Here is a 13,739-nt window from a genome sequence, read left to right as displayed (position 1 = left end):
CGCCACGCACGCACGCACACAGACACACACACACACACACACACACACACACACAACCAAGACGCACACAGACATACAGCAGGTAACACCCACCCCCAGGCTGCCCCTGAAGCTGCCGGGTTCTGCTCTCCGCGACTACGAGGCCACCGGTGAGACAGCAGCCCACGGACACCCTGGCAGACCTGTCCTCCACATCACAAGGGCGCTACTTTTGGGGAGACTCACCCGCACACCGTCCGTGCACGCCTGAGGCTGGGATCCCGCGCTGCGTCCCCGGCGATCTGTCTGAGGTTTCTTCCTCCTGGCGGACCCTCCGCGAATCCCGGCCTCCGGAGACCGTCCTGGTAACTGCCCTGGCCAGGACTGGTCTCAGCCCCGACTCTGACGCACAATCACAAAGGGCTCCTACTTCGCCAATTCTCAGGGACCCATCCCCGGGCAACGGTGGCGGTCACTGTGACCAAAGCGGCGGCTGGGGCCTCGCGCATGCGCACTGGCGAGGCCGACTCACCCACCCCACCCCTCCTTACTCAGCAGAGTCAGGCTGCGGACCCTTTAAAAAATGGCGGCGACGCGGCGGCTGCGGGGACTGGGGCGGCGGTGCTGGAGGTTGCGGCGGCGGCGGCTGCGTCGCAGCCCAAGGCGGCGGGTGGGAAGAGGTCTACCAGAGGGGCCTGCGGGAGACCCAGGGTCGGACCCATAGGAGTCCTGTCGTCAGGACCTCCTTGATCGGTCTCCTGCTTCTGTTCCCGGTGAAGGAGGACCTTCGGGGTGCTGGCTGGGCTGCGCGGACTCCTCTTGGGATCCGATGATGGCTCCCACCGGCTGATCGGGAATGGGGTTACAATGCAGTGAGGCGGAAAGGGTCTCGCCGGGGCAAGGAAAGATCCCCAGGGCCGCAAGGCGTGCTGTCGTCTGCAACGGCACGGACCCATGAGTCCACTGCCTCCCTCCTTCCTGGGTGGAGCAGGGGCCTGCCTTCATCTTCAAGGCCCGGGCGCTCCGGCATCCCGACGCAGCTTCCGGCGACACCGGCAAAGGCAGACAGAGGCGAGTCCGAGCTGGAGCCCGTGTGACCAAACGTGGCACTGACGTCCCCCAAGAGCACATGCAGTGAGCGTGTGTCTTTGAGGCCGTAGGGGGCGACTACGAGACGGACAGTGATGTCCAGGCGTGCGCCCGGGGGCCACTGGAGACCTGCCCCACAAAGCGGAGGAAAAGCCAAGCGCACCTGCAAACCTGCGAGACAGGGCCTGTGCGCGAGTCCAGGCCACATTCAGGGAGGCCCGCCAGAGGAGCCCAGAGCTTTGGACCAAGTACACCCCACCCCCACGCCGCTACCGCTTAGGTACCCCTGACGCAACCTCCGCTGCACCCAACCAAAACCCAGTCCCGTTGGCTCCCTGACATCCGTGGCAGCCAAAAGATTCAGTGCCAGAAGGCGCTTTCCCCAGGAGCGGAGGAACCGGTTGGCCCTCAAGGATCAGACAGGAAGTGCAGGTGGGCTGCAACACCGCCTTTCCTGGAAGGCCAATGTGGGGAACGGTGGGCTTGTCTCCCCCTCTTCCTGGACCGAGCGCGCAGCCATCACTTGGGCCATGGAGACCAAGAGAGCTTCCCTGTCCCACACAGGTATGGAAGCCCAGAGCTCCAGGATCACCACACCTGCCCAATCATCCAGAAAGTGGTGTGGAGAGGGAAACGATCACGACACGGACGCCCACGGGGTTTCTCCCTGATGGACAGGGAAGTCTTCTTTGTTGAAGACGTTGAGCCAGACTAAGAAGCCGCCAGGCTTCTCAGAGACGGGGCAGACACAGCAAGAGGGAGGACAGAGCAGAGGCCAGAGTCCAGGCAGGATACGGGGCCATGCCACCACCACGGGCATCCGGGGAGGAGTGTCAGACGGGTGACTCGGCCAGGAAGGCCAGCCTTTGAGTGACAGAGATGCTTGCCCCATCCCCTTGCCGGCTTCCTTCTCCGTCCCTGCGTCGAGCTGTGGCTCCATTTCTCCATGAGGGAGAGGGCGAGAGGCGTGAGAACCATCCTCTTGAAGGTCTGCGGGCACCCTCCTGCGGGTGGACAATGAGCGCCTGGGAGGCCGTTGTCCTTGCTTGGGGAGCGGTCGTCTGGATCTAGCCTAGCAAAGAGGCTGCTCCGGATGGGGAGGGGACGAAAACCCCTGCGGTTCCGAAGCAGATGCCGGCATTGCCCAGGCCCTCACAGACCCCCAAACCGGAACCGCCGGGAAACCGACTACTAACCGGCTACACGACCGAGGCAGAGACGCGGGGAGAGGCTGACCAGAAGAAAGGCCGACCTGCAAGAAACCCACCCTCCGGCACACGGGGCACATGTGTCCCGAGGCACAAGCACACACAGACGGACAGAGATAGAAAGAGAGGGCGACGGAAAGAGCGAGGGGGGGGAGAGAGAGAGAGAGACGTAAGAGATAGACAGAAGTGGGCACACGGACGCCACGCACGCACGCACACAGACACACACACACACACACACACACACACACACACACACACAACCAAGACGCACACAGACATACAGCAGGTAACACCCACCCCCAGGCTGCCCCTGAAGCTGCCGGGTTCTGCTCTCCGCGACTACGAGGCCACCGGTGAGACAGCAGCCCACGGACACCCTGGCAGACCTGTCCTCCACATCACAAGGGCGCTACTTTTGGGGAGACTCACCCGCACACCGTCCGTGCACGCCTGAGGCTGGGATCCCGCGCTGCGTCCCCGGCGATCTATCTGAGGTTTCTTCCTCCTGGCGGACCCTCCGCGAATCCCGGCCTCCGGAGACCGTCCTGGTAACTGCCCTGGCCAGGACTGGTCTCAGCCCCGACTCTGACGCAGAATCACAAAGGGCTCCTACTTCGCCAATTCTCAGGGACCCATCCCCGGGCAACGGTGGCGGTCACTGTGACCAAAGCGGCGGCTGGGGCCTCGCGCATGCGCACTGGCGAGGCCGACTCACCCGCCCCACCCCTCCTTACTCAGCAGAGTCAGGCTGCGGACCCTTTAAAAAATGGCGGTGACGCGGCGGCTGCGGGGACTAGGGTGGTGGTGCTGGAGGTTGCGGCGGCGGCGGCTGCGGCGCAGCCCGAGGCGGCGGGTGGGAAGAGGTCTACCAGAGGGGCCTGCGGGAGACCCAGGGTCGGACCCATAGGAGTCCTGTCGTCAGGACCTCCTTGATCGGTCTCCTGCTTCTGTTCCCGGTGAAGGAGGACCTTCGGGGTGCTGGCTGGGCTGCGCGGACTCCTCTTGGGATCCGATGATGGCTCCCACCGGCTGATCGGGAATGGGGTTACAATGCAGTGAGGCGGAAAGGGTCTCGCCGGGGCACGGAAAGATCCCCAGGGCCGCAAGGCTTGCTGTCGTCTGCAACGGCACTGACCCATGAGCCCACTGCCTCCCTCCATCCTGGGTGGAGCAGGGGCCTGCCTTCATCTCCAAAGCCCGGGGGCTCCGGCATCCCGACGCAGCTTCCGGCGACACCGGCAAAGACAGACAGAGGCGAGTCCGAGCTGGAGCCCGTGTGACCAAACGTGGCACTGACGTCCCCCAAGAGCACATGCAGAGAGCGTGTGTCTTTGAGGCCGTAGGGGGCGACGACGAGACGGACAGTGATGTCCAGGCGTGCGCCCGGGGGCCACTGGAGACCTGCCCCACAAAGCGGAGGAAAAGCCAAGCGCACCTGCAAACCTGCGAGACAGGGCCTGTGCGCGAGTCCAGGCCACATTCAGGGAGGCCCGCCAGAGGAGCCCAGAGCTTTGGACCAAGTACACCCCACCCCCACGCCGCTACCGCTTAGGTACCCCTTACGCAACCTCCCCTGCACCCAGCCAAAACCCAGTCCCGTTGGCTCCCTGACATCCGTGGCAGCCAAAAGATTCAGTGCCAGAAGGCGCTTTCCCCAGGAGCGGAGGAACCGGTTGGCCCTCAAGGATCAGACAGGAAGTGCAGGTGGGATGCAACACCGCCTTTCCTGGAAGGCCAATGTGGGGAACGGTGGGCTTGCCTCCCCCTCTTCCTGGACTGAGCGCGCAGCCATCACTTGGGCCATGGAGACCAAGAGAGCTTCCCTGTCCCACACAGGTATGGAAGCCCAGAGCTCCAGGATCACCACACCTGCCCAATCATGCAGAAAGAGGTGTCGAGAGGGAAACGATCATGACACGGACGCCCACGGGGTTTGTCCCTGGACTGGGAAGTCTTCTTTGTTGAAGACGTTGAGCCAGACTAAGAAGCCGCCATGCTTCTCAGAGACGGGGCAGACACAGCAAAAGGGAGGACAGAGCAGAGGCCAGAGCCCAGGCAGGATACGGGGCCATGCCACCACCACGGGCATCCGGGGAGGAGTGTCAGACGGGTGACTCGGCCAGGAAGGCCAGCCTTTGAGTGACAGAGATGCTTGCCCCATCCCCTTGCCGGCTTCCTTCTCCGTCCCTGCGTCGAGCTGTGGCTCCATTTCTCCATGAGGGAGAGGGCGAGAGGCGTGAGAACCATCCTCTTGAAGGTCTGCGGGCACCCTCCTGCGGGTGGACAATGAGCGCCTGGGAGGCCGTTGTCCTTGCTTGGGGAGCGGTCGTCTGGATCTAGCCTAGCAAAGAGGCTGCTCCGGATGGGGAGGGGACGAAAACCCCTGCGGTTCCGAAGCAGATGCCGGCATTGCCCAGGCCCTCACAGACCCCCAAACCGGAACCGCCGGGAAACCGACTGCTAACCGGCTACACGACCGAGGCAGAGACGCGGGGAGAGGCTGACCAGAAGAAAGGCCGACCTGCAAGAAACCCACCCTCCGGCACACGGGGCACATGTGTCCCGAGGCACAAGCACACACAGACGGACAGAGATAGAAAGAGAGGGCGACGGAAAGAGCGAGGGCGGGGAGAGAGAGAGAGAGACGTAAGAGATAGACAGAAGTGGGCACACGGACGCCACGCACGCACGCACACAGACACACACACACACACACACACACACACACACAACCAAGACGCACACAGACATACAGCAGGTAACACCCACCCCCAGGCTGCCCCTGAAGCTGCCGGGTTCTGCTCTCCGCGACTACGAGGCCACCGGTGAGACAGCAGCCCACGGACACCCTGGCAGACCTGTCCTCCACATCACAAGGGCGCTACTTTTGGGGAGACTCACCCGCACACCGTCCGTGCACGCCTGAGGCTGGGATCCCGCGCTGCGTCCCCGGCGATCTGTCTGAGGTTTCTTCCTCCTGGCGGACCCTCCGCGAATCCCGGCCTCCGGAGACCGTCCTGGTAACTGCCCTGGCCAGGACTGGTCTCAGCCCCGACTCTGACGCACAATCACAAAGGGCTCCTACTTCGCCAATTCTCAGGGACCCATCCCCGGGCAACGGTGGCGGTCACTGTGACCAAAGCGGCGGCTGGGGCCTCGCGCATGCGCACTGGCGAGGCCGACTCACCCACCCCACCCCTCCTTACTCAGCAGAGTCAGGCTGCGGACCCTTTAAAAAATGGCGGCGACGCGGCGGCTGCGGGGACTGGGGCGGCGGTGCTGGAGGTTGCGGCGGCGGCGGCTGCGTCGCAGCCCAAGGCGGCGGGTGGGAAGAGGTCTACCAGAGGGGCCTGCGGGAGACCCAGGGTCGGACCCATAGGAGTCCTGTCGTCAGGACCTCCTTGATCGGTCTCCTGCTTCTGTTCCCGGTGAAGGAGGACCTTCGGGGTGCTGGCTGGGCTGCGCGGACTCCTCTTGGGATCCGATGATGGCTCCCACCGGCTGATCGGGAATGGGGTTACAATGCAGTGAGGCGGAAAGGGTCTCGCCGGGGCAAGGAAAGATCCCCAGGGCCGCAAGGCGTGCTGTCGTCTGCAACGGCACGGACCCATGAGTCCACTGCCTCCCTCCTTCCTGGGTGGAGCAGGGGCCTGCCTTCATCTTCAAGGCCCGGGCGCTCCGGCATCCCGACGCAGCTTCCGGCGACACCGGCAAAGGCAGACAGAGGCGAGTCCGAGCTGGAGCCCGTGTGACCAAACGTGGCACTGACGTCCCCCAAGAGCACATGCAGAGAGCGTGTGTCTTTGAGGCCGTAGGGGGCGACGACGAGACGGACAGTGATGTCCAGGCGTGTGCCCGGGGGCCACTGGAGACCTGCCCCACAAAGCGGAGGAAAAGCCAAGCGCACCTGCAAACCTGCGAGACAGGGCCTGTGCGCGAGTCCAGGCCACATTCAGGGAGGCCCGCCAGAGGAGCCCAGAGCTTTGGACCAAGTACACCCCACCCCCACGCCGCTACCGCTTAGGTACCCCTGACGCAACCTCCCCTGCACCCAGCCAAAACCCAGTCCCGTTGGCTCCCTGACATCCGTGGCAGCCAAAAGATTCAGTGCCAGAAGGCGCTTTCCCCAGGAGCGGAGGAACCGGTTGGCCCTCAAGGATCAGACAGGAAGTGCAGGTGGGATGCAACACCGCCTTTCCTGGAAGGCCAATGTGGGGAACGGTGGGCTTGCCTCCCCCTCTTCCTGGACCGAGCGCGCAGCCATCACTTGGGCCATGGAGACCAAGAGAGCTTCCCTGTCCCACACAGGTATGGAAGCCCAGAGCTCCAGGATCACCACACCTGCCCAATCATCCAGAAAGAGGTGTGGAGAGGGAAACGATCACGACACGGACGCCCACGGGGTTTCTCCCTGATGGACTGGGAAGTCTTCTTTGTTGAAGACGTTGAGCCAGACTAAGAAGCCGCCAGGCTTCGCAGAGACGGGGCAGACACAGCAAGAGGGAGGACAGAGCAGAGGCCAGAGTCCAGGCAGGATACGGGGCCATGCCACCACCACGGGCATCCGGGGAGGAGTGTCAGACGGGTGACTCGGTCAGGAAGGCCAGCTTTTGAGTGACAGAGATGCTTGCCCCATCCCCTTGCCGGCTTCCTTCTCCGTCCCTGCGTCGAGCTGTGGCTCCATTTCTCCATGAGGGAGAGGGCGAGAGGCGTGAGAACCATCTTCTTGAAGGTCTGCGGGCACCCTCCTGCGGTTGAACAATGAGCGCCTGGGAGGCCGTTGTCCTTGCTTGTGGAGCGGTCGTCTGGATCTAGCCTAGCAAAGAGGCTGCTCCGGATGGGGAGGGGACGAAAACCCCTGCGGTTCCGACGCAGATGCCCGCGTTGCGCAGGCCTTCACAGACCCCCAAACCGGAACCGCCGGGAAACCGACTGCCATCCGGCCACACGACCCAGGCAGTGACGCGGGGAGAGGCTGACCAGAAGAAAGGCCGACCTGCAAGAAACCCACCCTCCGGCGCACGGGGCACATGTGTCCCGAGGCACAAGCACACACAGACGGACAGAGATACAAAGAGAGGGCGACGGAAAGAGCGGGGGGGGGGGAGAGAGAGAGAGAGACGTAAGAGATAGAAGTGGGCACACAGACGCGCGCACGCACGCACACAGACACACACACACACACACACACACACACACAAACACACACAACCAAGACGCACACAGACATACAGCAGGTAACACCCACCCCCAGGCTGCCCCTGAAGCTGCCGGGTTCTGCTCTCCGAGACTACGAAGCCACCGGTGAGACAGCAGCCCACGGACACCCTGGTAGACCTGTCCTCCACATCACAAGGGCGCCACTATTGGGGAGACTCACCCGCACACCGTCCCCGCACGCCTCAGGCTGGGATCCCGTGCTGCGTCCCCGGCGATCTGTCTCAGGTTTCTTCCTTCTGGCGTTTCTTCCTCCTGGTTGACCCTCCGCGAATCCCGGCCTCCGGAGACCGTCCTGGTAACTGCCCTGGCCACGACTGGTCTGAGCCCCGACTCTGACGCACGATCACACAGGGCTCCTACTTCGCCAAGTCTCAGGGACCCATCCCCGAGCAACGGTGGCGGTCACTGTGACCAAAGCGGCGGCTGGGGCCTCGCGCATGCGCACTGGCGAGGCCGACTCACCCGCCCCACCCCTCCTTACTCAGCAGAGTCAGGCTGCGGACCCTTTAAAAAATGGCGGCGACGCGGCGGCTGCGGGGACTGGGGCGGCGGTGCTGGAGGTTGCGGCGGCGGCGGCTGCGGCGCAGCCCGAGGCGGCGGGTGGGAAGAGGACTACCAGAGGGGCCTGCGGGAGACCCAGGGTCGGACCCATAGGAGTCCTGTCGTCAGGACCTCCTTGATCGGTCTCCTGCTTCTGTTCCCGGTGAAGGAGGACCTTCGGGGTGCTGGCTGGGCTGCGCGGACACCTCTTGGGATCCGATGATGGCTCCCACCGGCTGATCGGGAATGAGGTCACTATGCAGTGAGGCGGAAAGGGTCTCGCCGGGGCACGGAAAGATCCCCAGGGCCGCAAGGCGTGCTGTCGTCTGCAACCGCACTGACCCATGAGCCCACTGCCTCCGTCCTTCCTGGGGGGAGCAGGGACCTGCCTTCATCTCCAAGGCCCGGGGGCTCCGGCATCCCAACGCAGCTTCCGGCGACACCGGCAAAGACAGACAGAGGCGAGTCCGAGCTGGAGCCCGTGTGACCAAACGTGGCACTGACGTCCCCCAAGAGCACATGCAGTGAGCGTGTGTCTTTGAGGCCGTAGGGGGCGACGACGAGATGGACAGTGATGTCCAGGCGTGCGCCCGGGGGCCACTGGAGACCTGCCCCACAAAGCGGAGGAAAAGCCAAGCGCACCTGCAAACCTGCGAGACAGGGCCAGTGCGCGAGTCCAGGCCACATTCAGGGAGGCCCGCCAGAGGAGCCCAGAGCTTTGGACCAAGTACACCCCACCCCCACGCCGCTACCGCTTAGGTACCCCTGACGCAACCTCCCCTGCACCCAGCCAAAACCCAGTCCCGTTGGCTCCCTGACATCCGTGGCAGCCAAAAGATTCAGTGCTAGAAGGCGCTTTCCCCAGGAGCGGAGGGACCGGTTGGCCCTCAAGGATCAGACAGGAAGTGCAGGTGGGATGCAACACCGCCTTTCCTGGAAGGCCAATGTGGGGAACGGTGGGCTTGCCTCCCCCTCTTCCTGGACTGAGCGCGCAGCCATCACTTGGGCCATGGAGACCAAGAGAGCTTCCCTGTCCCACACAGGTATGGAAGCCCAGAGCTCCAGGATCACCACACCTGCCCAATCATGCAGAAAGAGGTGTCGAGAGGGAAACGATCATGACACGGACGCCCACGGGGTTTGTCCCTGGACTGGGAAGTCTTCTTTGTTGAAGACGTTGAGCCAGACTAAGAAGCCTCCATGCTTCTCAGAGACGGGGGAGACACAGGAAAAGGGAGGACAGAGCAGAGGCCAGAGCCCAGGCAGGATATGGGGCCATGCCACCACCACGGGCATCCGGGGAGGAGTGTCAGACGGGTGACTCGGCCAGGAAGGCCAGCCTTTGAGTGACAGAGATGCTTGCCCCATCCCCTTGCCGGCTTCCTTCTCCGTCCCTGCGTCGAGCTGTGGCTCCATTTCTCCATGAGGGAGAGGGCGAGAGGCGTGAGAACCATCCTCTTGAAGGTCAGCGGGCACCCTCCTGCGGGTGGACAATGAGCGCCTGGGAGGCCGTTGTCCTTGCTTGGGGAGCGGTCCTCTGGATCTAGCCTAGCAAAGAGGCTGCTCCGGATGGGGAGGGGACGAAAACCCCTGCGGTTCCGAAGCAGATGCCGGCATTGCCCAGGCCCTCACAGACCCCCAAACCGGAACCGCCGGGAAACCGACTGCTAACCGGCTACACGACCGAGGCAGAGACGCGGGGAGAGGCTGACCAGAAGAAAGGCCGACCTGCAAGAAACCCACCCTCCGGCACACGGGGCACATGTGTCCCGAGGCACAAGCACACACAGACGGACAGAGATAGAAAGAGAGGGCGACGGAAAGAGCGAGGGCGGGGAGAGAGAGAGAGAGACGTAAGAGATAGACAGAAGTGGGCACACGGACGCCACGCACGCACGCACACAGACACACACACACACACACACACACACACAACCAAGACGCACACAGACATACAGCAGGTAACACCCACCCCCAGGCTGCCCCTGAAGCTGCCGGGTTCTGCTCTCCGCGACTACGAGGCCACCGGTGAGACAGCAGCCCACGGACACCCTGGCAGACCTGTCCTCCACATCACAAGGGCGCTACTTTTGGGGAGACTCACCCGCACACCGTCCGTGCACGCCTGAGGCTGGGATCCCGCGCTGCGTCCCCGGCGATCTGTCTGAGGTTTCTTCCTCCTGGCGGACCCTCCGCGAATCCCAGCCTCCGGAGACCGTCCTGGTAACTGCCCTGGCCAGGACTGGTCTCAGCCCCAACTCTGACGCACAATCACACAGGGCTCCTACTTCGCCAAGTCTCAGGGACCCATCCCCGGGCAACGGTGGCGGTCACTGTGACCAAAGCGGCGGCTGGGGCCTCGCGCATGCGCACTGGCGAGGCCGACTCACCCGCCCCACCCCTCCTTACTCAGCAGAGTCAGGCTGCGGACCCTTTAAAAAATGGCGGTGACGCGGCGGCTGCGGGGACTGGGGCGGCGGTGCTGGAGGTTGCGGCGGCGGCGGCTGCGGCGCAGCCCGAGGCGGCGGGTGGGAAGAGGTCTACCAGAGGGGCCTGCGGGAGACCCAGGGTCGGACCCATAGGAGTCCTGTCGTCAGGACCTCCTTGATCGGTCTCCTGATTCTGTTCCCGGTGAAGGAGGACCTTCGGGGTGCTGGCTGGGCTGCGCGGACTCCTCTTGGGATCCGATGATGGCTCCCACCGGCTGATCGGGAATGGGGTTACAATGCAGTGAGGCGGAAAGGGTCTCGCCGGGGCAAGGAAAGATCCCCAGGGCCGCAAGGCGTGCTGTCGTCTGCAACGGCACGGACCCATGAGTCCACTGCCTCCCTCCTTCCTGGGTGGAGCAGGGGCCTGCCTTCATCTTCAAGGCCCGGGCGCTCCGGCATCCCGACGCAGCTTCTGGCGACACCGGCAAAGGCAGACAGAGGCGAGTCCGAGCTGGAGCCCGTGTGACCAAACGTGGCACTGACGTCCCCCAAGAGCACATGCAGTGAGCGTGTGTCTTTGAGGCCATAGGGGGCGACGACGAGACGGACAGTGATGTCCAGGCGTGCGCCCGGGGGCCACTGGAGACCTGCCCCACAAAGCGGAGGAAAAGCCAAGCGCACCTGCAAACCTGCGAGACAGGGCCTGTGCGCGAGTCCAGGCCACATTCAGGGAGGCCCGCCAGAGGAGCCCAGAGCTTTGGACCAAGTACACCCCACCCCCACGCCGCTACCGCTTAGGTACCCCTGACGCAACCTCCGCTGCACCCAGCCAAAACCCAGTCCCGTTGGCTCCCTGACATCCGTGGCAGCCAAAAGATTCAGTGCCAGAAGGCGCTTTCCCCAGGAGCGGAGGAACCGGTTGGCCCTCAAGTATCAGACAGGAAGTGCAGGTGGGCTGCAATACCGCCTTTCCTGGAAGGCCAATGTGGGGAACGGTGGGCTTGCCTCCCCCTCTTCCTGGACCGAGCGCGCAGCCATCACTTGGGCCATGGAGACCAAGAGAGCTTCCCTGTCCCACACAGGTATGGAAGCCCAGAGCTCCAGGATCACCACACCTGCCCAATCATCCAGAAAGAGGTGTCGAGAGGGAAACGATCACGACACGGACGCCCACGGGGTTTCTCCCTGATGGACTGGGAAGTCTTCTTTGTTGAAGACGTTGAGCCAGACTAAGAAGCCGCCAGGCTTCTCAGAGACGGGGCAGACACAGCAAGAGGGAGGACAGAGCAGAGGCCAGAGCCCAGGCAGGATACGGGGCCATGCCACCACAACGGGCATCCGGGGAGGAGTGTCAGACGGGTGACTCGGCCAGGAAGGCCAGCCTTTGAGTGACAGAGATGCTTGCCCCATCCCCTTGCCGGCTTCCTTCTCCGTCCCTGCGTCGAGCTGTGGCTCCATTTCTCCATGAGGGAGAGGGCGAGAGGCGTGAGAACCATCTTCTTGAAGGTCTGCGGGCACCCTCCTGCGGGTGGACAATGAGCGCCTGGGAGGCCGTTGTCCTTGCTTGGGGAGCGGTCGTCTGGATCTAGCCTAGCAAAGAGGCTGCTCCGGATGGGGAGGGGACGAAAACCCCTGCGGTTCCGAAGCAGATGCCGGCATTGCCCAGGCCCTCCCAGACCCCCAAACCGGAACCGCCGGGAAACCGACTGCTAACCGGCTACACGACCGAGGCAGAGACGCGGGGAGAGGCTGACCAGAAGAAAGGCCGACCTGCAAGAAACCCACCCTCCGGCACACGGGGCACATGTGTCCCGAGGCACAAGCACACACAGACGGACAGAGATAGAAAGAGAGGGCGACGGAAAGAGCGGGGGCGGGGAGAGAGAGAGAGAGACGTAAGAGATAGACAGAAGTGGGCACACGGACGCCACGCACGCACGCACACAGACACACACACACACACACACACACACACACAACCAAGACGCACACAGACATACAGCAGGTAACACCCACCCCCAGGCTGCCCCTGAAGCTGCCGGGTTCTGCTCTCCGCGACTACGAAGCCACCGGTGAGACAGCAGCCCACGGACACCCTGGCAGACCTGTCCTCCACATCAAAAGGGCGCTACTTTTGGGGAGACTCACCCGCACACCGTCCGTGCACGCCTGAGGCTGGGATCCCGTGCTGCGTCCCCGGCGATCTGTCTGAGGTTTCTTCCTCCTGGCGGACCCTCCGCGAATCCCAGCCTCCGGAGACCGTCCTGGTAACTGCCCTGGCCAGGACTGGTCTGAGCCCCGACTCTGACGCACAATCACACAGGGCTCCTACTTCGCCAAGTCTCAGGGACCCATCCCCGGGCAACGGTGGCGGTCACTGTGACCAAAGCGGCGGCTGGGGCCTCGCGCATGCGCACTGGCGAGGCCGACTCACCCGCCCCACCCCTCCTTACTCAGCAGAGTCAGGCTGCGGACCCTTTAAAAAATGGCGGCGACGCGGCGGCTGCGGGGACTGGGGAGGCGGTGCTGGAGGTTGCGGCGGCGGCGGCTGCGGCGCAGCCCGAGGCGGCGGGTGGGAAGAGGTCTACCAGAGGGGCCTGCGGGAGACCCAGGGTCGGACCCATAGGAGTCCTGTCGTCAGGACCTCCTTGATCGGTCTCCTGCTTCTGTTCCCGGTGAAGGAGGACCTTCGGGGTGCTGGCTGGGCTGCGCGGACTCCTCTTGGGATCCGATGATGGCTCCCACCGGCTGATCGGGAATGGGGTTACAATGCAGTGAGGCGGAAAGGGTCTCGCCGGGGCAAGGAAAGATCCCCAGGGCCGCAAGGCGTGCTGTCGTCTGCAACGGCACGGACCCATGAGTCCACTGCCTCCCTCCTTCCTGGGTGGAGCAGGGGCCTGCCTTCATCTTCAAGGCCCGGGCGCTCCGGCATCCCGACGCAGCTTCCGGCGACACCGGCAAAGGCAGACAGAGGCGAGTCCGAGCTGGAGCCCGTGTGACCAAACGTGGCACTGACGTCCCCCAAGAGCACATGCAGTGAGCGTGTGTCTTTGAGGCCGTAGGGGGCGACGACGAGACGGACAGTGATGTCCAGGCGTGCGCCCGGGGGCCACTGGAGACCTGCCCCACAAAGCGGAGGAAAAGCCAAGCGCACCTGCAAACCTGCGAGACAGGGCCTGTGCGCGAGTCCAGGCCACATTCAGGGAGGCCCGCCAGAGGAGCCCAGAGGTTTGGACCAAGTACACCCCACCCCCACGCCGCTACCGCTTAG

General features: G+C 63.9%; 2 long non-coding RNA genes across 2 annotated transcripts; both read right to left on the bottom strand.

Moving 5' to 3' along the window:
- Positions 1-6,679: 6,679 nt before the first annotated feature.
- LOC124900859 (uncharacterized) lies at positions 6,680-9,125 on the bottom strand. Its single transcript, XR_007058476.1, has 2 exons — positions 7,660-9,125; positions 6,680-7,275 (listed from the first exon to the last, which is right to left on the bottom strand). It is a non-coding gene; the product is annotated as an uncharacterized LOC124900859 (long non-coding RNA).
- Positions 9,126-11,643: 2,518 nt separating this feature from the next.
- Positions 11,644-12,971, bottom strand: LOC124900860 (uncharacterized). Its single transcript, XR_007058478.1, has 2 exons — positions 12,617-12,971; positions 11,644-12,238 (listed from the first exon to the last, which is right to left on the bottom strand). It is a non-coding gene; the product is annotated as an uncharacterized LOC124900860 (long non-coding RNA).
- Positions 12,972-13,739: the final 768 nt, after the last annotated feature.

Source organism: Homo sapiens, chromosome 4 (genome assembly GCF_000001405.40).
Source record: "Homo sapiens chromosome 4, GRCh38.p14 Primary Assembly".
Lineage (NCBI taxonomy): Eukaryota > Metazoa > Chordata > Mammalia > Primates > Hominidae > Homo > Homo sapiens.
Note: the sequence above shows the minus strand (reverse complement) of the source record. Positions and strands in the feature narration are given on the sequence as shown.